Genomic DNA, 23769 nt, shown 5'->3' with positions numbered 1-23769 from the left:
ACCAGTTAAGAGGTGACTACAGTGTTCCAGGCTTCAGATAATGAGGACCTGGTGCAGGTGGTGCCAGTGACAATGTAAGGTAAGGTATGGAAATGGGAGTCACTAGTAAAATGAGTTGATTGGCTTCCAGAGGAGGTGAGCTCCTGAAAGCTTAGTGGCAGGTCAGGGTTCCTGAAAACCTCACTTCACCTGCCTGATGGCCATCTCCTCTCCTCAGGTCACAGCTGCCTACATGGACACAGTGAGCTTGTCTGCCACTGGGTTTTATAGGTAAGTATGGTGTTGTCCTTGCCCAGCTCATAGTGTGATGTCGTCCTAACCTCACTGGTCCACTCCAGCACCGAATCCTGCCAGGCTGTGGTCAGGAGAGAGCAGCTCCACTTATCTCTTCAACAGACTTCCGCTAATTTCAGTCTAAAGATGCTCTAAAATATGTGGAATGGCCACACTGTGTGCCAAGGGGTAAAAGCACCAGCTGTGTGTCAGAAGACCCGACTTCTAGTTCTGGTCTCAGGGTGCACAATTTCACCAGAGGAAGTCAGTGGTCCTGCTGAACCTGTTCCCCTGTTTCCTCATGGGTGACGTATTGGGGCCAGTACCTAACCATTCCTCCCTCAGTGTTCTCCTGCAGAAACCAGGCTGTGTAGTGTTATGAGTTAGGCATTGCTGTTAGCTATGCATCCTTCTTTGTACTGTGTGTGGGACTTTTTTATAGAATGAGAGGAGGATTTAGAGCACGTGGTCTTATTACAAAATGCAGAATACAGTGGAAACTTATTAATACAGGGAGATTTTCAAGAGAGCGTATGACTTCTGCAACTTTAAATTTAGTAGCAGCGTGAATAGCTAGAGACCCTGCCCATCTGACTTAGCAGCTGTAAAAAGATATGATCATATTTACTGTCAGTCATCATATTTTAGCCGTCTCTGGGAAGTTTAGCTAGGACCTTTTCTTTCACAGATATTTGGAATATTTTCTTTCAATATATTTGGAAAATAATTCAATGTTTCTTTAAAATATCATGTCTGAATGTATGAATATATAGATGCATAAATATATATATGTATAAACATTTCTTTGTATGAAACATTTATTTTCCGTATGTATATGAATATATATATGAACATATATATGTTAGGCATATATATGTTTATACATATAAGGCATAAACATATATACACACAAAAAACATTTATATGCCCTATATATGAACATATATATGGCTAATATATATGTATAGATATTACACTGAATATATATGCCTTATACATATATGTATAAGACATATATCTGTATAAACATATGTACACACACAAAACATTTCTATGCCATATATATGAACATACATATGGCTAATATATGTATAGATATTACACTGAATATATATATGCCTTATATAAGGCATATATATATGCCTTATACATATATGTATGCTTTATATACATATATATAAGTATATAAGGCATATATATGTATTATACATATATGTATAAGGCATATATGTATAAACATATATACACAAAAAAACATTTCTATGCCATATATGAACATATATGTGGCTCATATATATGTATAGATATTACATTGAATATATATGTATAAGGCATATATATGTATAAACATGCATATATATATATATATATATATATATATATATATATATATATGGTGAAGAAATGTTTTGCCAATGCTTTCTAGGTTTTTAATATCTGACCTACACATACATAAACACATTTTCTCATAAATTCCTATTACATTTCTGGAGTTCATGAAACTAAGGTTTTATAAAGGTCAAAGCAGAGGAGCATGGTGAAAGCAGAGGTCAAAGGAATTGGTGGTGGTTTTTTCTGGGAGAAGCCTTTTCCCTCAGCCCCATATTGGTTTTGTTTTTGTGCAGATCTGGTCATATCAGCTCATGTTATTCCTGTGTAGTGTATAGAATAACACAGAGTCAGTGTACTGTAAACTCTAGGTGTGTGAATACACATGCACAAATGCATAGATATACACATATATTTATATGACTCAGGCAAAAGTGGAATTGTATAAGGTACTCCAGATTGAAAATTTTAAAAATGTATAAGGGAGCATTTGTTTCTATTCGTATCATTTCCCTCAAATCATTTGTTGAACTTTCAAAGGGACCAGCAGGTGGGGAGTGGCCGCTTAAAGATGCACCCAGGTTAGCATGAGATGCTGATCTTATTAACTTTCTCACCTTGAGAAGGTAAGCAGGAGAACTGTGTGAACAGTCTAAGAGCCACCACAGGCAGAACCTTCAGTCCTGAAGACCTTGGATTCTAATTCAGTACATCCTTTGGAGTGTGACTTTCATGTCCTTCGTGAGCCCAGATGGATCTGTTACCTCTCTTTCTACTGTGCAGAGGCTAGCATGGTACTAAACACTGCTAGGCTGTACAGAATGAGTACAGAAGGGCTACTGGCAAAATAGAGGAGGGCCCAGAGACAAAATGTTCTGGAATATCTGGGTTTCGTTAACAGGTTCAAATTGTTCAAACCATGGACTTTTTTGGAGAACAGCTGAATGCAAAAACTTGTGGGGTTTAAAGATGTTGTGGGTCAAGCTGTACGTGCATAGGGAAGGGGGTGTGTTCATGTTAATACATGTGCAGTACCTTCTCTTTCCTCTCCCAGAACACCCAATCTGGGCTACAGCTTTGAGACTAACTCAGGGAACCCCTTCCACTACTTCAGCTATGGGGTGGCTTGCTCTGAAGTAGAAATCGACTGCCTAACAGGAGATCATAAGGTAAGAAGTTTGCAAAACTTTAGTACTTAGTGGGAAAGAGAAGAGAAACAACTGAGTTGTAATACCTAGAGCTGATAGAGACAAGATTTCTGGTTGGAAAAATAATGCCTTCCATTAAGGATAGGCAAACATCCTATAAAGGGCCACAGAGTAAGTGTTTTAGACTTCGTGGGCCATACAGTCTCTGCCTCAGCTACTGAACTCTACCATTGAAGTGTGACAGCAGTCATAGACAGCTTGTAAACAGATAAGTGTGACTCTGTTCCAATAAAATATGATTTATAGACACTGAAATTTGAATTTGAATTGAATCTCATACAATTTTTACTTGTCACAAAATATTCTTCTTTTTATTTTTCCAGTTATTTAATAATGTAATTATTAGCCTACAGGCCCCACGAAAACAGGGGCAAGTTGGATTTAGCCCATGGAACGTAGTATATTGACTCTTTTGTACATGATCTACCCAGACTCAGATTCAAAGCCCCAGGTTTCTGGGACCCTATCTGACTACTCACGTATGAATGTGTGTTATTCCCAGTTACTGAGAGATCATTGCTGCTCCCCACTTCCTACCCGGCTGCTACAAACTCAGACTCCAGCGGGGATGGTGGCAGCAGAGATTTGGTGGGAACATCAACACTTCTGCCTGAGCACACCCAGGGCTTTCTGCTTGGGAACGTACTCTTTGGTTGGCACTTGTAGTCTGAGGGTCACTATGAGTCATCTGTCATATTCCAAACATCTTTTCCTCCTCTAACTTCTTGTAATTTTGCTGTCTACTCTAGAACCTCCGCACAGATATTGTCATGGATGTTGGCTCCAGTCTAAACCCTGCCATTGATATTGGACAGGTGAGGCTCAGTGGGACCAGGGTGGTGACAGACTTGGCCACCGATGCACCCCATTCCCCTCCTGGGGCCACCTGCCACAACATGTTGTCCAAGGTTGTCTTCAAACAGGCTGAAACATGGAACCTAGGGAGTTTCCCCCAAAGTAGAATTTAGATTGGTGATAGTCCAACCAACCCTCAAGGCAGAAAGCAAATTAATATGGGTCAACTTGGGAAGGGCACTCACAACTCAAAAACAAGATGAGAAATGAGGAAACATGGCATGCACATGTGAACATGCACACACACCCAATTTGAGTGTGAGCACAACGTAGAATGGGGATTGAGTTTGGGATCAATGCCCAGACAGTGGGGTCTGAGGTCAGAAGAGTTTTCTGTCTTCTCATTCCTCCTCCACCTAGGACAGCTTTTGTACCCCAGGAAGCAGATGCTGCCAAACATGGAGTGGTGGAAGGCCCTGGGAGCAAAACACAAAGGCTTAAGCAGAAGTAGTAAAGGGAGGTCCCAGAGAAAATCGCTTTAGGAGAATATGGGATTACTATGAAGAATAGGTGAAATAGGGCTGGGACCTGTGGCTCACACCTGTAATCCCAGCACTCTGGGAGGCCGAGGCAGGCAGATCACCTGAGATCAGGAGTTCGAGACCAGCTTGGACAACATGGCGAAACTCCGTCTCTATTAAAAATACAAAAATTAGCTGGGTGTGGTGGCATGCACCTGTAATCCCAGCTACTCAGGAGGCTGAGGTAGGAGAATTGCTTGAACCTGGGAGGTGGAGTTTGCAGGGAGCCAAGATCCCACCACTGTACTCCAGCCTGGGCGATAGAGCAAGACTCAGTCTCAAAAAAATAAATAAAATAAAATAAAGAATAGGTGAGATAGGAAAAAACAGAGGAGGAATCAAGAATTCAAGACTGAGCATCTGGTAGAAAATACAAATTGTACTTCTAAAAAATGGACAACTACTGAGTATACGAAAATCTGGCCATTAGTCAATCTGTTCATTAATTCATTGAACAACCATTTATGGTCCCCTACTGTGGCCAGGCACCAAGCCAGTACTGCAGACCCAAAGATGATTGCCAGTCGGTTTCTTTTCTGAATGCTCGTTGAGGTATGGTAGTGCCCCATGTCACGCTTCTGAGCAGGGGGCTGAGAGAGCAGATGTGTGGGCCTGTCTATCATGGCAGTTACCCTAGGAGAGACCTGTAAGCTGAACTGCAGTGGGGGCACTTTCTCCCAGAGGACAGGCAGGGGTGGGCGTTCAAAAAGGCTGGAGGTAAGTCTCAAAGAATCTACTATCGAATAAATCCTCCTGTGAGCTTGCTTCTTAGCTTTGGCTCACCATTTCCCCAGTAGCAACATGGAAGGAACATCTCCATCTGCACTGCGGCAGGTTGTAGTGGGAAACATGCCCACCTAGAATCACTGACCTTCCGTGTTAATGTCTTTGCTCTGCCTGAGCCAAAGCCTGGCAGAAGTCCGGATGGGTTATCCCAGGGCTGAGGCGGGAGCCAGGTAAGCAATAGAGGGCAGTTTTAGCTACATTCCAGGCCGCGCTGCAGTTGGCGCTTTGTGTCCATTGTGGCAAGTGGTATCTGTCCTCAGGGAAGAAGGTGGCAGGCTAACTGTGCTCTCCATCCATCCTGCAGGTGGAAGGGGCATTTGTCCAGGGCCTTGGCCTCTTCACCCTAGAGGAGCTACACTATTCCCCCGAGGGGAGCCTGCACACCCGTGGCCCTAGCACCTACAAGATCCCGGCATTTGGCAGCATCCCCATTGAGTTCAGGGTGTCCCTGCTCCGCGACTGCCCCAACAAGAAGGCCATCTATGCATCGAAGGTACCATTGCTCTGGCTCTGTGCTGTCTCTTCTGATCTGCCCTGGGGGAGGCCCCAGCGGGTGATGAGAGGCCTCAGTGACCCACCTGGTGGGACTTCAAAGGGCATATCTTGAGGAGGGAAGATGGTTTGACACTGACCTTGGTAGGGGCAGTGGGATAGTTGGGCAGTCCTGCTTGAGAACCAGTTAAATTGGGTTGAGGAGAGCACCTTAGTATGGTCTGAAGCCCACTTCTTTGGGTGAATTTAGAGGGATTCCTTCATCAAATCTTCTCATTTAAATCCTGGCCCACACCCATATCTCAGGCGTACGTCACTGGTGCTTGATCCTAAGAGATGATTTTACAGGTACAGCATTAGTATGGTCCAATGACAATCAGCACATTCACTGCCAATGGGATAGCACCTTTGTACACACCCTTTTACCTCCTTCAGTTGCCAATACTCGACCTTAAGACTTGATCAGGCTGGGTGCGGTGGCTCATGCCTGTAATCCTAGCACTTTGGGAGGCCTAGGTGGGTGGATTGCCTGAGCTCAGAAGTTCGAGACCAGCCTGGGCAACATGGCAAAACCCCATCTCTACTAAAAATAAAAAAAATTAGCTGGGCATGGTGGGACATGCCTGTAATCCCAGCTACTCAGGAGGCTTAGGCACGAGAATCTTTTGAACCTGGGAGGCAGAGGCTGCAGTGAGCCGTGACTGGACCATTGCACCCCAGCCTGGGCGACAGAGCGAGACTCTGTCTCAAAAAAAAAAAAAAAAAAAAAAAAAAAGACTTGGTCAGATGCCTGGAGGATTGTGTCTTCTATTTCTTCCTTATCTGCAGTAAGTATGAAAAAATGGTTGAAAATTGATTTAGCTGATGCATATAATCCTAGTTTGAAGAAGGAAGGCAACTAATCCTTGGTAACCAAAGAAACATCCATTTGCTCATCTCGTGGTTTACTTTACCATAGTGGGTGGGGAAGCTGGGACATATTGTGACCCTTGCCATTGACTGTCATACTTTACCATGCTTGGGAATTACTGAGGCCCATGATAAAAATGTGCCTTTCTGGGGCCCACGCCTAGAAATTTTGCTCCAATAGGTGTGGCTTAGGGCCCTGGAACATGCATTTTCAGCAAGTATCTTTAGTGATTCTGATATAGGTGGTCTCTGATCTATACTTTGAGGGGGAGAAAAACCAACCTATGCTAGAAAATGTTTTAATTCCTGTTTGTTCTTATGCCTATAATTCCTGCGGATGCTGTAATATGACTATGGTGCCTGTAAATGTTGGTGTCAGAGTTGCAGGTAGACTCTTCCCCTCGGCTAGTGACTGAGGAAAAGGTTAAAACTCACGTCAGATTTTGTGGTCTGTAAAATACAATTACCGAGTATAACTTTAAATGGTACATTATATGTGCATGATGTCATCAGAGAAAATTACATGAGTGTTCAAAGAAATATGTCCATGCGGTCCAGTCATGTACTAGCTTGATTGTTCTTAGCCCCTGATCATTTCTGACTGTGCCTTCCTGCTGTATTTGGTGTGGCTCCCATCAGTGCTTTCCTGGTGCCACCAGCCCTCCTCGTGCAGAGTTTGCTGCCTGGCCTCCTAGGTCCACTTGATGATGTGGAGGCAGGACCACCTGCCTGAGCCCCTGCCCTGTGCCCTGTCTGTGTTCAGGCTGTTGGAGAGCCGCCCCTCTTCCTGGCTGCTTCTATCTTCTTTGCCATCAAAGATGCCATCCGTGCAGCTCGAGCTCAGCACACAGGTAATAACGTGAAGGAACTCTTCCGGCTAGACAGCCCTGCCACCCCGGAGAAGATCCGCAATGCCTGCGTGGACAAGTTCACCACCCTGGTATGATGCCCCTCAAGCATCCACTCAGTCCAGGGGAGGCCAGGGATAGGCTGGCAAACTGCAGGGAAGGTTCTGCACAGAGGAGAGGTGTTGGGCTCTCTCCTAACCGGGCAGCCTTGCATCAATGGCCACCCTTCATTGTGCATGGTATGAAGCACACACTCGAACTTGCAAGAGAATAATGAGAAACCTCCTTAAAGCTATAGCTTGTAGCTGGGCCTCCTTAGAGATGGGAGGAATGTGTGGTGCACAGTCATAACTCACAGATTTTATTATTTTCCATCTAGATAAGGATGATGGATGAAACTCCAGAGAGCCTAATCTTTAGTATGAGTCAGTCGCTAGCATTTTTTTTTTTAATTTATGTTAAGGACACTGTATGAATATTGGGGGGATGGAGGGAAAAAGAGGAAATAATTAATTAGATCAACCACATTTGTCCTGTGATGATCATGTGCCATTCTGATACTGGGGACACATAGATGTCCTTGAGGACTTTGCAACCTTGGGAAACCAGATGATTCCATTATAGGGTGATTGATTACTGCCTTGGAGGTGTATGTGGCAGAAAGTAGTAGAAGAATTCCGTAGTCATTGGAATCACTTTAAGAAGCACCTATGTGATACTTGTAGTTGGCAATGCCTAACAAAAGAAGACTTTGCTAGGACGGTTGCTTCCGCTTTGGGGATCTCAGAACCAGCCCAGCCTCTGAGTGGTGCTGAAGTGGGCTCTGTACAGTGGCTTTAATTGCCTTTGCAACTGCAACCTGTGTGGAGTTAGCAGGACTGGGTTCTTCCTGATACTCAGGTGGGGCTTTCTCTTTTTAAAATTCGATATGCTTTTTGGATTTATAGGTAAAGTGGGTACATGTGGTCCCAAGTGGGGAGGGCACAGAGGAACCCCAGGGGCAGACAAATCCACCATCCGCAGACCTCAACACAGTGGGTGAAGGAGGCATATGGGTCCCCATTCAGGTCTTCCTTGGGTCTACCAAGAGCTTTAGCTATGGAGTGAGAACTACACAGACCGTGTGGCACTCCCAGGCAGTAAAGATGCCCACATCTGTGCAGCAACCTACCCACAGCCCAGAACCTTCCCACTATGGCTCCCAATGCTGACAATCACCCAAACCCATTTCCCTGAGAGGAGTGGGTGGCATGGCTCCCAATAAGCTGCCACAGTTTGCAAGGCGAGCTCTTTGCCAACAGTCTGATGCAGAACTCAGTCATTTTCGTAAGCTCTCTGTGGCCCCAGACCTGAAACAAAGATCCGTTTCTATGTTACAACATACCAGCGATTTAAAAATTCTTGCCATGGATTTGCATGAGCAGCTGATTCTATGAACTTTTTAAGGACTGTGAGTTTCAAAAGGGATCACATCTGTATTGTTTGTCACCATATCTCCAAAACCTAATAGAACGCCTGCCATGTGGAAAGTGCTCAGTGAAAATAAATGAATGGCTTAGGAAATTAAGGAGTCCTGCCCTGAGGCATTCTCAACAGCTAGGCCTGCAGAGTGGTGCTTGGCCTTGGAATGATGGTTGGCAGTGGTGGGAGGTGAGGTATGCAAGAGAGTGGGAGGAGCATGATCAGCAGACCCTGGCAATGAGAACACTATCATTCCTTCCTAGTGTGTCACTGGTGTCCCAGAAAACTGCAAACCCTGGTCTGTGAGGGTCTAAAGAGAGAGTCCTCAGCAGAGTCTTCTTGTGCTGCCTTTGGGCTTCCATGGAGCAGGAGGAACATACCACAGAACATGGATCTATTAAAGTCACAGAATGACAGACCTGTGATTTGTCAAGATGGGATTTGGAAGACAAGTGAATGCAATGGAAGATTTTGATCAAAAATGTAATTTGTAAACACAATGATAAGCAAATTCAAAACTGTTATGCCTAAATGGTGAATATGCAATTAGGATCATTTTCTGTCTGTTTTAATCATGTATCTGGAATAGGGTCGGGAAGGGTTTGTGCTATTCCCCACTTACTGGACAGCCTGTATAACCTCAAGTTCTGATGGTGTCTGTCCTTTGAAGAGGATTCCCACAAACCTCTAGAAGCTTAAACCGAAGTTACTTTAAATCGTGTGCCTTCCTGTGAAAGCCTGGCCTTCAAACCAATGAACAGCAAAGCATAACCTTGAATCTATACTCAAATTTTGCAATGAGGCAGTGGGGTAAGGTTAAATCCTCTAACCATCTTTGAATCATTGGAAAGAATAAAGAATGAAACAAATTCAAGGTTAATTGGATCTGATTTTGTGAAGCTGCATAAAGCAAGATTACTCTATAATACAAAAATCCAACCAACTCAATTATTGAGCACGTACAATGTTCTAGATTTCTTTCCCTTCCTCTTTGAAGAGAATATTTGTATTCCAAATACTCTTTGAGTATTTACAAAAAAGATTATGTTTAATCTTTACATTTGAAGCCAAAGTAATTTCCACCTAGAAATGATGCTATCAGTCCTGGCATGGTGGCTCACCCCTATAATCCCAGCACTTTGGGAGGCTAAGGCAGGAGAATTGCTTGAGCCCAGCAGTTTGAGACCAGCCTGGGCAACATAGAGAGCTCCTGTCTTTAAAAAAAATTTTTTTAATTAGTTGGTCTTGATAGTGCATGCCTGTAGTCCCAACTACTTGAAAGGCTGAGGTGGAGAGATCATTTGAGCTCAGGAGGTTGAGGCTGCAGTGAGCTATGATTGCGCCACTGCACTCCTGCCTGAGCGACTGAGCAAGATCTTGTCTCTGAAGAAAAAAAAAGAAATAAAAATGCTGCTATCAAAATCAAGCCCAACCAGAGGTAGAAGAGCCAAGAAGCCTGGGTTCTCATCCTAGCTCTGTCTCTTCTGTCTCTATCTTTGTGATCTTGGACTGTCAATTCCCCTTCCTGTGATCCATTTTACTGCAAACATAAGGGTTGCAGTAAAGGGTTGTCTCACGTCTTCTGCTTTAAAAGCCTATAAATATATGACCTGAAAACTCCAGTTACATAAAGGATCTGCAGCTATCTAAGGCTTGGTTTTCTTACTGTCATATGATACCTGGGTCTAATGAACTCTGCTGAGATCACCTCAAGTTTCTGCGGTTGGTAAAGAGAACAAGGGAAGAACAAACATCCCTTTTATTGCTCCAAATGGTGATTTAATCCCTACATGGTGCTGGGTGGACAATGTGTCACTGTCACATGCCTTCACTGTATAAATCCAACCTTCTGCCAGAGAGAATCTGTGGTTCTGGCCATGGAGGGAGGATAGTGGAAATGATATAGTTGGACTGGTGCTTGATGTCACTAATAAATGAAACTGTCAGCTGGTTGGCGTGTGAAAAATGCTTATTAATTATCATCACACCAAATGCTAGTATCTTCAGTATCTTGGCCAGCCTTCATTTCTTGAAAACACACACACACACACACACACACACTTTCTTACAAAAATCCCTCTCCAGAGTATCCTAGATATGCTGGCTGTTGTACAGCATGGTCAAGGTAGAAGAGCTTTAAAAACTAAACGAGTGTTTACACTGAGATCCAGGTCCATTTCAGATGATTTTCTGGGATGTTCTGGGACAGGGCCTGAGACCTGTCACTTGTTTTTAGTGAAGCTCTTGGGGTGAAGCAGTGACACAGAATTCCCTTGTGTGCTTAGGTACCAAGGTGAGAGTAGAGTGGTCATGAAAATCCAACAAGAAAGTGCTTTGTGAACTAGAAATCACTGTGCTATTCAGAGGCATCGTCCGTCTGAGACACCTTGCCTTGCCCTGTTGTCTTAAAGTGCTTCCAGTCTATACAGTGAGATGTCTTGGTCTTTTTTGGTGTTGCACAAGGAATGCAGTCAACACTGCCTGCGGTATCGCCTGGAACCTGCAGAGGGCAGTAGAAGATTGAACAAGGGGCAATATTGTCCAGGTGGCCCAGCAGCATCGCATTTGTTAACCATTAGGTACTGATTTAGGTAGGATCTCTGCATAGACCAGATGTCCTCGGAGGCTTCCCCAAGAGCTGAATTCAAAGCTGACTTAGGGTTTTAGAATGACAAAAGTCTCAAAGGAGCTCTCCAAAGACATGGGTCAGCCGTGGGAGTCTGAGCTCCAGATGAATGGCTAGCAAGGGGAAGGCAATTCTTATTTTCAGAGTATCTGCAACTTGCCAGGTGACAAGGTGAATGCTTTACCTACAGGGTCTCATTTAATCCTCCCAGTGGTTTTACGAGGTAGGTCCTTTAACCCCTATAACCACATGAAGGAGAAGCCCTACCCCTGACCATGCTGAGGGCTTACTCAGAGACATTTACTCCTAAGTGCCCACCACAACCAGCGGGCAGCTCCCTTACAGGCCAGGAAACCTGGTGTGTATTGGGAGTCACCTGCCTGTCAGAGTGGACAGTTGCTAGCCAGGCTCACGGAGGTGGATGGAGGCACCAGGATGCCCACCGTTTCATTTATAGGCAGGCTGAGGATTCTCTTGCTGGCACGGCCAGGGTACTGAGTTGTCATCAGGGCAGCTGATGAGACTCCCCTTACTCCAGAGCTAGGTGGCTGGGAGGCTGGGACAGGAGGGCAGGACAGAGGTTGTAGGAGGAACTCTGGGCAAGGGATAAGGACAGAAATAGTCTTAGCTGATTGATTTATGACTGAGAACATCCCCGAACCCATGGTATTTTTATCTTTTGCGGAGGGGGAGCCTGGAAACCTGTCCATTTGCTGCCTATTTTGGATCGTGGGACAAGATGATTCCTGACATACAGCTTCCTTAAACATGAGGTCACCCTGGTGCCCCCCAGGCCCAGGAGCCTGCCCTTTTGTTTTGTTTCTATCCTGAACTGGGGGAGTACGTGTTCCTAAGGCAGGAGACAGATCCTGTGACAATCTTGTCACCTGAAACAAATCAACCTATTGATGGAAGTGGAAATGTCAGGCACTGCCCAAAGGGATTCTGGCGTCATCTCTGTCCTTGAACTGTCCTGCTCTGGCTTGCACAACCCCCCAGGCCACCTCAGCATCCCAGAACTGGAAAGACCATCAAGTTCAATCTCTCTATTTTAGAGAGGAGAAACATAAGCCCACAGAGAGAAACTGACTCGCTCAGGGTCCTACGGCCCTTTAGTAGCACAGTCAGACTGACAGCAAGGCTGCCTGGTTCCTGGTCCAGGCTTTTTAAAACTTAACCATACACCACTAGTCAACTGAGCCTTCTATTAGGAAACCTGTGGGTCAGGGAGCTGGGGTATATGACAGAAATCTAGTTACACTGAATGGGAAGAAGACAGAGCAAGCTTGAGGCCCAAGATAAACACTGGTGAGGAGGGTAATATGCCTGTATGCCTATATATGCCTATCTGCCTGTGCTCCTGTCACAGGATGCTAAAATGGGATTCTTTCCGCAGCCCCACAGATGGGAAACAAAACAATGAGTGCAAAAACATCCCCTCATTTCAAAGAGAGATGCTGAATCTAAATCATCTGTGCAAGACTTGCGGAGAGATGGCTGGAAACTAATTTTGCCACCATTAACTCCTCATCTACCTCAAGAGTTTAAAAGATTGAAGTACAGAATTTGAGAGATTGGGAAGAGAGGTTTCCTTTGGAGGTAGCAAACCATGCATTCTCCCTGCCAAACAGGAGAGAGTGTGTGTGTGCATGTGTGTGTGAGAAAAGGGGGGTCTCGTGGTAAATGAGATCTGCTTGGGAAGCTGTGGTTGGATTAGACTGAGGCATTAAGGTAGTGAGAGGAAGGGGATGAGAGCCACAGGGCAAGGATACCAGTGTGGCCACACTGGAGGGATCCACCACCCAGGAGGACTTCCTGAAGGGTGTCATGGAACCCCAACAAACAACGGGACCATCTGATGCCCCAGGATCAAAATAGCCTCGGGCTGGCTTGTTCCAGTGTGGCCCATGAGGAGTGCCCACACATCCTTGCCCTGGATCCTTTGTTCCAGTTTAAATTTCCCCCTCTCCCCACACCTTTCAGTAGGGAAGAAGGTGAGCCCAAGAGTGAGACCCTTTTCTTTGAGCCCTGAGTGTTAGTGGGAGGGAGCTTAGGAATGGATACACAGGCTGCAAACATTGCACTGATGAGCCCGTGCATCAGCCCTGGGAGCATAGAGTCTGAGTGGCATGTCATTTGCTCCCCTCCTCCTATCTTTCCGTCTCCATCACATCCTGGCAGATTTGATCCCCTGTTCAGCCAATTGCCCTTATCTGTGGGCTGACAACAAAGTCGTTCTGGTCCATGCATGTGCTCTCTGTTCTTCCTCTCACTAGATGGAGTATTCCCAGGGGTCCTCGTGGTGGCTGACGTTCTTGTGGGACACTCACTACCTTTCCTTGCTTCCCACCGAGGCTAGACTGAGCACCCGCCCCAGGGTGGTGACACACAGCATGCCTCTGCCCACTCTTGGGTGTTAGGAGCTGAGCATAAAAGCACGTGTGGAGTGCTCAAGCTCCTCTGCTTCTCCTCTGCTTCCCTCTTCCCTCTTGGGCAGGTTGCTTAGCTCCTCTGACCTCAATCTGTTCATCTGTAAAATAGGTGTGGATAATCATATCCACCTCACTGGGCTGTTGTGAAGATTGAAAGAATCAGTGGGGTTAAAAGCACTTTTTGGAGTACAGAGTTGTTGTCATTTGCAGGCCTTTGACCATGCCTTAAAAGGGGAAGAGCACCGGGAAATCATGAGTAAGCTTTCCAAAACTTGGATGGAAGGGAAGATGCAGGAATGCATCTCGACCATAATGAGGTGTAGGGTGATGGGTACATGGATTAGCTGTGATCTTAGGCCAGGTAAGAGAAGCTCACCTGCTCCTTTTGGCACAAATGATTGATTAGCATGTCTCAGCTTCTCACGTGAATGTGATTTTCCCAGCACGTTGGGCTGGGTAGGAGGGCCGGCTCTCAGCTCCCTATAGCTGACTAAGTGGCACAGGTGAGATGGAATGAAGAGCTCGTCAGCCTCACCTGGCTATCTTCACAAGCCTTTATCAGAAGTGCAGAAGTCACTCTCTTCTGTTATTCTTGCTGTTTAGTTTTGTCTGACAATGACAACAACTGGCATTTGTATAGCAATTTGAAAGGCACTCCCCGTTGCAATGCTTTCTGTAACTCTTGCGATAAACCTATGAGGTGTGTATTACAATCATACCCACTTTACAAACAAAGAAACTGAGGCTCGGGGAGAAGATGATGGTGCAGACAAGAGCACTACCTGTGAAATCAACTGATGTGTTTCAGTCTTTGTCTCCCACTTAGCTGCTGTGTGATCTCGGGCAAATTGCTGAAATCTTTACATTTCTACTTCCTTGTCTGTGAATGAGATCATGGTGGTACTTTCATGGGGTTGTGGAGAGGATGGCATCCAAAAATGCAGGGAAAGCACAAAACCTAGTGCCTGGCAAGGAAGCTTCTACTCTTATACAGCGAGAGTACACCTGAGGAGTGTTAACTAATAAGAAAACCAACACTGCACAGCCGCAAACAAAAGAGAAGATGTTTTAACTGGGGTCTTGGGAATTGTAATGAGCAAGCAGCTAAATTGTGTCCCATCCAGGTGAGGTTGGGTAGGGGCTTATAAAGGTTTACTGTAAGTTTACCTATCTGGAAGGTTCTAGCAGAGTCTTTAATTGATGATGGCTGGTCACAGCTTAGGATGTGTCTGATGATCAATCCAGTTTGGCATAGCTGTTTCTCCAGGAGGTTAATGATCAGGTCCAATAGAAACAGCTGAGATCAAATGCAGCTGGTTTTACAATTTGGCCCAGTTTAATAGATCAGATTCCATCTGGGTGTGTACGTGACTGGGGTCCAACTCCTCATGCCTTCCTGGCTTTTTTGATACTTCTGACATAACCATCTCCATTTGGATTTTCTTTCTGACAGCAATGACTTTAACCTAAGACTCCAGATGCCAAAGCTTGAGCTCTTTCAATGGGGTGGTGCTGGCTCTTAATTTTTTGCATTACACACTTCAGTTGGCTTCTAGCCCTGGAGAGAACACACACACACTCACACACCCATCACAACCATCTCTCTACCTGTTCACTCTCTTCCATCCCTCCATCTTGGTCTCAGAATCCAGGGGAAAGGACATGCCTGGCTCATTGTCAGTAGAAAAGCACCTGCCTTAGGAATCAGACTCCCTGCTTCTCTTTCCAAACCCAGAACAGTCACTTCAGAGTGGGAGGCAGCTCCAGAAGGCGAGGGGGTTGGGAGGCATTGTTGATAATGGCCCAAAGGTCATTTCCTCCACACCCCAGGGAGTCCTGATTGTTGCTTAATGATAAGCCTTTCCCAGGGTACAGAATGTATGGCAGAATGTATGGGGTCTTGGACCCTTTCTCCATCCTCCTGAGAGCCATCAGTCTTATCAAGTGAAAGTATTCTTTGTCTTCTTGGAGTGGGCCAAGGGCTTCCTGCCAGGACCCTGTGTACTTTATAGGCCTTTGTGGATTGGTGACAATGGTCCCGTGGTGGTTCTGTAGTAGTGTGGAGCTCTGGGCTCTCCTATGCACTACTTTAATCTGGAAACACCCCCCATTCTCCATCCCCACTGCTGGGGGCCAGGAGTGCTGTGCCTCTGGGAGATGTGGCTGTAGTAAAGTTGTTGGTAATTTGTGGCCTTCAGCTGATGAGGAGATTGGCTTGCAAGGCACTCGGTATGCATGTTCCTAAGTCCCAAAATCAGGTTTTCTCCTTCCTCAACTATATATGCCATGTGTTCCTTTTAAAAGGCCAGATGCTGGGCTAAGCTAGGGGCTCAAGTGTAAAGAGCAAGGGCTGCCAGCAAACGCTCTACTCAGCTCCAGTATTTTCATAAGTTCTCTTCTCTTGGGAACATTACTCACCCTCTGAGCCTCAGTTTCCTCATTTGTAAGTGGAGGAGAATAAGACCTGTTGTCAGTGTGGTGAAGTTAAATGACATAGTCAATGAAAGGCACCCAGCACAGCCTGGGCAACATAGTGAGACCTCGTCTCTAAAAAAATTTTTAATTAGCCGTGTTCGGTGGTGTGCACCTGTAGTCCTAGCTCCTTGGGATGCTGAGGCGGGAGGATTTCTTGAGCCCAGGTGTTTGAGGCTGCAGTGCACCTCAAATCAGACCACTGCACTTCAGCCTAGGTAACAGAGAGCGACTGTCTCAAAAGGAAGAAAGAAAATAAAAGAAAACAAAGACACTCAGCACAGCATCTGACACCTGTTGTTAGGTGCTTAATAAATGTCAATACCTTGCTGTTCCAAGATTCTCCAAGCCTATGTACAACAATTTTGTAAATTTAGTGTCCAAACATGTTTATGCTATACACTTGTAGTAGACACTATTGCAAATCCTTTTCCTTGGCTGGGAGTTACTAGTTCCTCTAAATGTTGGCAGCTGACAGTACACATCTGCCTATTATCTTGAGAATTGCCCTCAGCTAAAACAGAAGTCCCCTCATCTGGGAGTTTATACCATCTTTTAAGGCTTTGCTTCTTGGGAACCACCCTATGACAGGATATATACCATTTTCTACTTGCATAACTTACTAACAAATCACATTCTTCCCTCCCTACTCTCTGGGTATTGTATGGCTGGGAATCCTCACTCTGCTATAATGTAATATGTGGCTGGGAATTCCCAATCTATTGGGAGCTGAGACCCAGTGTAGTGAGGTAAAGTGTGTGTGCTTGGTTGATCTTGACAATACGTTCAATTTCTCCGGAGCCTCAATCATTTTCCATAGCCACTTGCCCCATTCTCACAGTAGATAACATCCCTGGTCAAAGCATTATCAGTTTCCTCTATTGCTCCATCAAATGCTCCTCTTTTCTTGAGATAGCAATTGAGTAGCCACACACATGACCTGAGCTGTCTGCCTGGCCATTGTTGGCTCTTCATACTTTGTTTACCTAAGCTCTGAGAAAACTATGTGTATTGCTCAAAGGATTGCATAACATTTTAGAGTTGGAAGGGACAATCCCCAGTGGTCCTCAACTGGGGGTGATTTTACCTTTAGGGAACATTAGGCAATGTCTGGAAATCTCTTTGGTTGCTGCAACTCAGGGAGGGGTGGTGGCTCCTGGAATCAGGCAGGTAGAGTGCAGGGATGCCGCTAAACATCTTATATTGCACAGGGCAGCCCACTGCAACAAAGAATTATTCAGCCCAAAATGTCAGTAGAACTGAGGTGGAGAAAGCTGAGTCTAGCCTACCACCTGGATGGTGGGGAGGAGGCAACGGAGGATTCTGGAGGTGGCTGTGGCAGAATTAAAAGCCAAGTCTCCTTAGCTATTCTTTCTACTGATTTAGTTGTTTCATTACGATAACGTCGGTCCTTTGTAGTAAGTGTGCGATAGCAATCTCTCTACAAAATAGAAATTTTCTAGCGCAAGAACGTACCAAGAAATTCTTATTTGTAAATGGACACTCATACGGTATCCATTCCAGCATAGTGAATTACCCTCCCTGCAAAAGAATCATAAATGATGATATTTAACTTTGATATTTGCTTCTAATCCCTTATCAGAGCACATAATTATGTGTTTTGTTTGAACTATAGTTCCTTAACATCGTTCTATGTATTGGGGAAATTATACCCAGGAGTGGACTATCTGGTTTGTTAGTCATGTTTCAAATGTGTTTACAACCAGGTACATTTGTGAATTTGCTTCTTCCTTGTGGAGGGTCTATTTTTGCCTTTAAAAACATTTTTCTTAAATAAAAAGAAAATTACAGTATGAACCAAACATAAGTAATATAGAGAACGATAAAATACACATATATACTTCCCACCTGGTTCTAAAAAAATGTTTGTTTGCCCATATTTGTTTCCCATGGTAAAAGATTAATGTTACAAGTACAGTTGAAGCTTCCCATTTTATCACCCCACTCTGAGATTTTGCCCTCTGCCTTGAGGTAATTACCATCCTAAGGTTGATGTAAAACATTCCCATCCATGTTTTTATATTTTAATGCATGTGAACATATCCTAAGCAGTGCACAGCGTATGTGTTTTAAAATTCACACCCATTAACCACCACAATGACTAACATTAAAAAGACTAAAAATATCAAGTGTGAATAAGAGGTGAAGGAACTGGAACTCTCACACACTGCTAAGGTAGTAAAATGGTACACCCAATTTGGAGAACTGTTTATGAGTCTCTACTAAAGCTGAAAGTATGCATACCCTCTGACCCAGCAATTGCTGAGCATATACCCAAGCGAAATGCTTGCACATATGAACCAGAAGAAAAGTCCAAGACCGATCATAGAAGCACTGCTTGTAATAGTCCCCCAAAATTCCCAAATGTAGATCCCCAACAGAGTTCATAAATTAATTGCAGCATATCCATACAATAGAATACCAGCATACCAAAGAAAATAAATAAAATCCAGCTTCATACTTCCATTAGGATGCATCTCACAAACATAATATGGAATTAAAGAAGCCAGACACAGCTGGACATGGTGGCTTGCACCTGCAGTCCCAGCACTTTGGGAGGCTGAGGCAAGAGGATTGCTTAAGCCCAGGAGTTTGAGACCCACCTGGGCGACAGGGCGAGACCCCATTTCTAGAAATAGAATTATTTTTATATTTTTATTATTATTATTTTTGAGAGAGGGTCTCCCTCTATTGCCCAGGCTGGAGTGCAATGGCATGATCTCAGCTAACTGCAACCTCTGCCTCCTGGGTTCAAGCAATTCTCATGCCTCAGCCTCCCCAGTAGCTGGAATTACAGCCATGTGCCACCAAGCCTGGCTAATTATTGTATTTTTAGTAGAGACAGAGTTTTGCCATGTTGCCAGGCTGGTCTTGAACTCCTGGCCTTGGCCTCCTAAGGTGCTGGGATTACAGGCGTGAGCCACCATGCCCAGCTGAAAAAAAAAAAATTTGTTTTAATTAGCCAGGCATGGTGTCACCCACTTGAGGTCACAATTATTTGGGAGGCTGAAGTGGGAGGATTGCTTGAGCCCGGGACGTAGAGGCTGCAGTGAGCCATGGTCATGCCACTTCACTCCAGCCTGGGCCTGGGTGACAGAGGGAGATCCATCTCAAAACAAAAACAAAAACCCAGACGCAAAGAGTTCACACTGTATGATCACATATATATACATTTCAAAAACAGGCAAAACCAACCTCTAGGGTTAGAAGTTTGATCGTGGTTACCTTTGGAGGTATGTAGTACTCGGGGAGAGCCTCTGGGAGGGCTTGGTCATGTTCTATTTATGTGAGTGCAGGTTACCAGGCCAGGTCACTTTTCAATAATTCATTGAACTGTTCATTATGATTTGTACATTTTAGGTAAGTATGTATGTATATATATCATTCTTCAATAAAAAGTTTCCTTTGGAAAAGATCTACATTCATGATATCATATTGTGATAGCCTTCTGCAATTCCTTGTTTCTACTCAATGTTATGCTTCTAATATTTATTCATCTGGGCCCATTTGATCTGGTTTAGCCATTTATCCATTACATGGTGCTTTATTACATGCCAACATTAATTTTTTTATCCCCATACCATTGGATGTTTATGCTGTTTATCATCTTCCCTTTTCAATGTAGCGAACAATTTTGAACATGCCTCCTTCTGCAATGCATGAGAGCTTTCCTCTAAGGCACATAGCCCACACTGGAATTTTGGAGCATACCTTCCCCATTTCTTTATTTTCAACTGTTCGTGTCACGTTTTATTGAGTCTCTAATAAATAATACACATAGTTTGTGTATGGTTTGGCCTCTTATGAATAGCATGCATGATGGACGTGTGTGTTTAAATGCAATCTAAGGATATTTCTCTTTTAACTGGCAAAACAATGTGTTTACATTAATTGTGATTAATAGCCTATTTTGACATTTCTATCATCTCATTTGGTGTGTCACTACTGACCATGTTCTTTCTCTTTTTCTCATTGTCTGCTGTTGGCTTAATCAAGCATCCCTGTCCCCCGACCCTTCCCCTGCCCCACCATTCTCCCCACCTCATTCTTTATATGAGTTTCGTGCTTCTACATCCTATTTCTATTCTTTTAGAAGTCATCTCTGTATTTTTAGCATGCACACTTGATTCAGCAAAGCCTATGTTTAATTAATATTTCTATGTTGTCACCAAACAGGATGAGAAGCTTAGAATGCATTAATTGATTTTCCCCTCTCTTCCTCCGTGTGGCTATAATCAAGTGTTTCAGTTTCACTTTAACACTCTGATTAGTCATTGTTGTTATTCTTGTACAGGCAAATATTTAGTTTTACTCATACGCTTACCTTTGTTTTTCTCGTTATTGCTTTCTTATTCCACTCCCTCCTTCTGGCTTCAATTTCCTTCTTTTAGAAACACACGCTTTCATAGTTTTTCAGCCAGAGTTTGTGAATGGCAAGCTCTGTCTCTTTTTGTTAAAAAAAAAAAAGGCTTTATTTTGCCCTCATTCATAAATGATGATTTTGCTGAATTAGCTGCTATTGATTTAGCTGAGTAGTTATATTTCCCAAACCCTTGGAATGTATTTTTCTGATGCCAGCGTAATTGTCTTTCTTTTGCAGGCACTATCTCTTCTCTGGCTGTTTTTCTTCTGTTAAAGTATTCTATTTTAAGGTGTTCTGTTGTCTAGGCATGGATTAACTTTTTACCTATTATTCTTGGAATTCACCATGCTTCTTTATCCTGAGAACTTGTTTTCAAGTCTGGAAAATTCTAAGCCCTTATTTATTGCAACATTATTTCTCCTCCATTCTCTCTATCCTTTCTTTCCTTAACTTCTAAATAGATTTGTACTGAAACTTCTAATTCTATCCTCCATGTATCTTTAGGCCTCATATTTCTCATCTCTATCTCTGTGGTGCTTTCTGGGTAATTTCCTAGGTCTACATTTCAATTATTTAATGATCTCTTCAACTCTGTCTATTTTCATGTTTAAGTAAATCGAGTTTTTAGTCTTAGTTTCTTTACTTTTATTTTCATACATTCTGATTTTTTTTCACATTCACTTGAGTTAGTACAGACTAGGTTATGCTACAGAAAGAAAATAATCCCAAATTTCCCAATCTCCATGATTGAATACAGCAATAGTTTATTTCTCACTCCTTTGTACCCAGTGGATTTTGGTGGGGTCTGTTCTACACGGTCACTCAGAGACCAAGGACGAAAGAGGCTCCATCATCTAGCAGTTGCACTACCTGGAATATGAGGCTTACTGGGTGTCTGCAACAGGGAAACGGACATCTGGAGGATGTCACATTAGCTATCCTATGGCCAATATTGGAATTAACACGCAGCACCACCTGCCACAGACCACTGGCCAGAACAAGTCATGTAGCTCTACCAAGTGCCAGTGCATGGGGAATTTTGGTAGTGCTTCGTATGTGATGATCGACACTATTTCCTTTTCCATTTATTGTATTTTATCATTGTGTTCTACTCCTTCTTTCATCTCTTTAAAACAAGTAAAATGCTTAGAACAATGCTTACCATGTAGTAAGAACTTCACAGAAGTGTTTTCTAACATTTTAAGTACAATTTATTTTTAACAGATTTTACAAGTTCTCATAGTCTAATTCTTTCCTTCAATGTGGAATATTTATTCACATAGATCATTTTTTTTTCATTATAAGCTTATTCTCAATGAGTGTTCCGTTTCCTGTGGTGAACTTGTGCTCTGTGGGTTGGGGAACGATTCCCTATAGAGCACATGTGTCTTCTGTGCTTTTATTGCCTTTTTATCAGTTCAAAGGTGAGCTTCTACCATGTGTGCTGGGTAAATATAGACCCCACACCTGGAATTTTGATTTTTCATATAAACTTTTTGTTTTCTTTTCTTCCCAAGAACTCTGAGTAGATACAATGCTTTCTTGCTGCTTCCACAGGCTAATGAATAGTTTTTTCTCTCCCCTCTTCATGGGTACTCTACATAGGGTGCTTTCCAACACTACAACCGATTCTCTGATTCTCTGGACACCAGAGTGTCCAACAGTTCAGATCAATTCTGACACTAACTACCTGGAGTTATCACAGACCTCACAGCCTAATGGCTCAGTCTCATAAGACTGCCCCTGCTTCAGTGCCAGGCCTCCTGTACTTCTGGCCAACTGGCTATAAATAGGGGTTCCCATGCCTCTCTCCTCATGTTTGATAGTTTGCCAGGACAGCTCACAGAACTCAGGAATGCACTTTACTTACATTGACCAGCTTATTATAAAGGATGCAAATGAGCAACCAGATGAGTTCCAGGCATATAGGGAACATAGGAAAAGGTCTGAAGGGTCCTAAGTGCAGGAGCTTCTGTTCTATGGAGTTGAGGTGCCCCCATCTCCTGGCACATGGATGTGTTCAACCCGGAAGCTCCCTGAACCCCATCGTTTAGAGGTTTTTTATGGAGGTTGGATCACATAGGCACACTCTATTATTAACTCAATCTCCAGCCCCTCTTCCCTCCTGGGGAGGATGGGGTGGTGTGGGAGGGTAGAGTGATGCTAAAAATTCTAGGCTTCGTATCAAGGCTTGGTCCTTTTGGTAACCAGTCGCCATTCTGAAGCTGTCTAGAAGCCCACCAAAAGTAACCTCATTGGAACAAAAGATACTCCTATCACCTAGCAAGTTCCAAGCAATTTAGGAATTCTCTATCAGGAACCAGGGATGAAGACCAAATAGAAGTTTCTTATTATGCCATAGGTACTATTTGGTATAGAAGTTCAGCTTTCTACCTCCATCAGCCTGAGAACATCTCATCTTCACCTGTGGATGTTAAATCCCTAAGCCAAGCCATGAGGACCGATGTCCTGTTCCCAAGCCCACTGGACTGCTCAGCCATTGCTCTTGACAGTCTGACTTGGAGTTTTCTCTTCTCTGGAATCTGAGAGTTTCCTTTTCTTTATTTTGAGCTCAGCTGGATATTAAAAAATTATATTACAGTTTCTACAACATTTCTATCTATTTGAAGCAGCAGAGGAACATTCATTTCCTTAAACTTCCATGTTGCTAGAAGTTTTAAGAGGTTATATTTTAGAATCCTACTTGTAATCCTATTTATTTTTTGTGTTAATGTACATCTTAGGACCAACTGCCACAGCAGTCAGATTCCAAGCATCAAAAAGATTTAGATATCCTACTTTTGCACATTCTAGTTTTTCTTATGCTGTCAGTATCCATCACTGGCTACTTTTTTCTATATTTGCAAATATTTCCGGGGTCCATATTTTAATTCCTAATTGCCATAGAGATTCATTTTATTAAACAATAAACATCCATCTACTGGTAGGAAGACATCCTTCCAACAAAAATTTAGCTCTGACTACGTATGAAGCGTTCTGCAATGCCCTAAAAGGAAAATAAAGATGAATCAGCCTCAGATACTGCCCCAAGTAGCTCGCAGTCTATCTAGCAGGAGAAATACAACATGTGCACAAATAACCCTAAGACCAGGTGGACCACGGTGGTGGCTGAAGAGACCTGGGGAAGAGTGTTTGGAGAATTCAGAGACGGG

The 23769-nt window shown here is 43.7% G+C and overlaps 1 protein-coding gene across 2 annotated transcripts in view; it reads left to right on the top strand.

Annotated features, from left to right (window-relative positions):
* Positions 1 to 10633, top strand: part of XDH (xanthine dehydrogenase) — an 80422-nt gene extending 69789 nt beyond the window's left edge. For both annotated transcript variants that reach the window (XM_011533095.3, NM_000379.4), the window contains exons 31-36: positions 218 to 270; positions 2657 to 2771; positions 3560 to 3625; positions 5277 to 5465; positions 7137 to 7313; positions 8946 to 10633. In XM_011533095.3, coding sequence (XP_011531397.1) covers positions 218 to 270; positions 2657 to 2771; positions 3560 to 3625; positions 5277 to 5465; positions 7137 to 7313; positions 8946 to 8996 — 651 coding nt within the window. In that variant the 3' untranslated portion in view covers positions 8997 to 10633. The remainder of the gene's footprint in view (positions 1 to 217; positions 271 to 2656; positions 2772 to 3559; positions 3626 to 5276; positions 5466 to 7136; positions 7314 to 8945) is intronic.

This window comes from Homo sapiens, chromosome 2, assembly GCF_000001405.40.
Source record: "Homo sapiens chromosome 2, GRCh38.p14 Primary Assembly".
Taxonomy (NCBI): domain Eukaryota; kingdom Metazoa; phylum Chordata; class Mammalia; order Primates; family Hominidae; genus Homo; species Homo sapiens.
The sequence above is the reverse complement of the archived record's forward strand: the minus strand, read 5'-3'. Positions and strand labels throughout refer to the sequence as shown.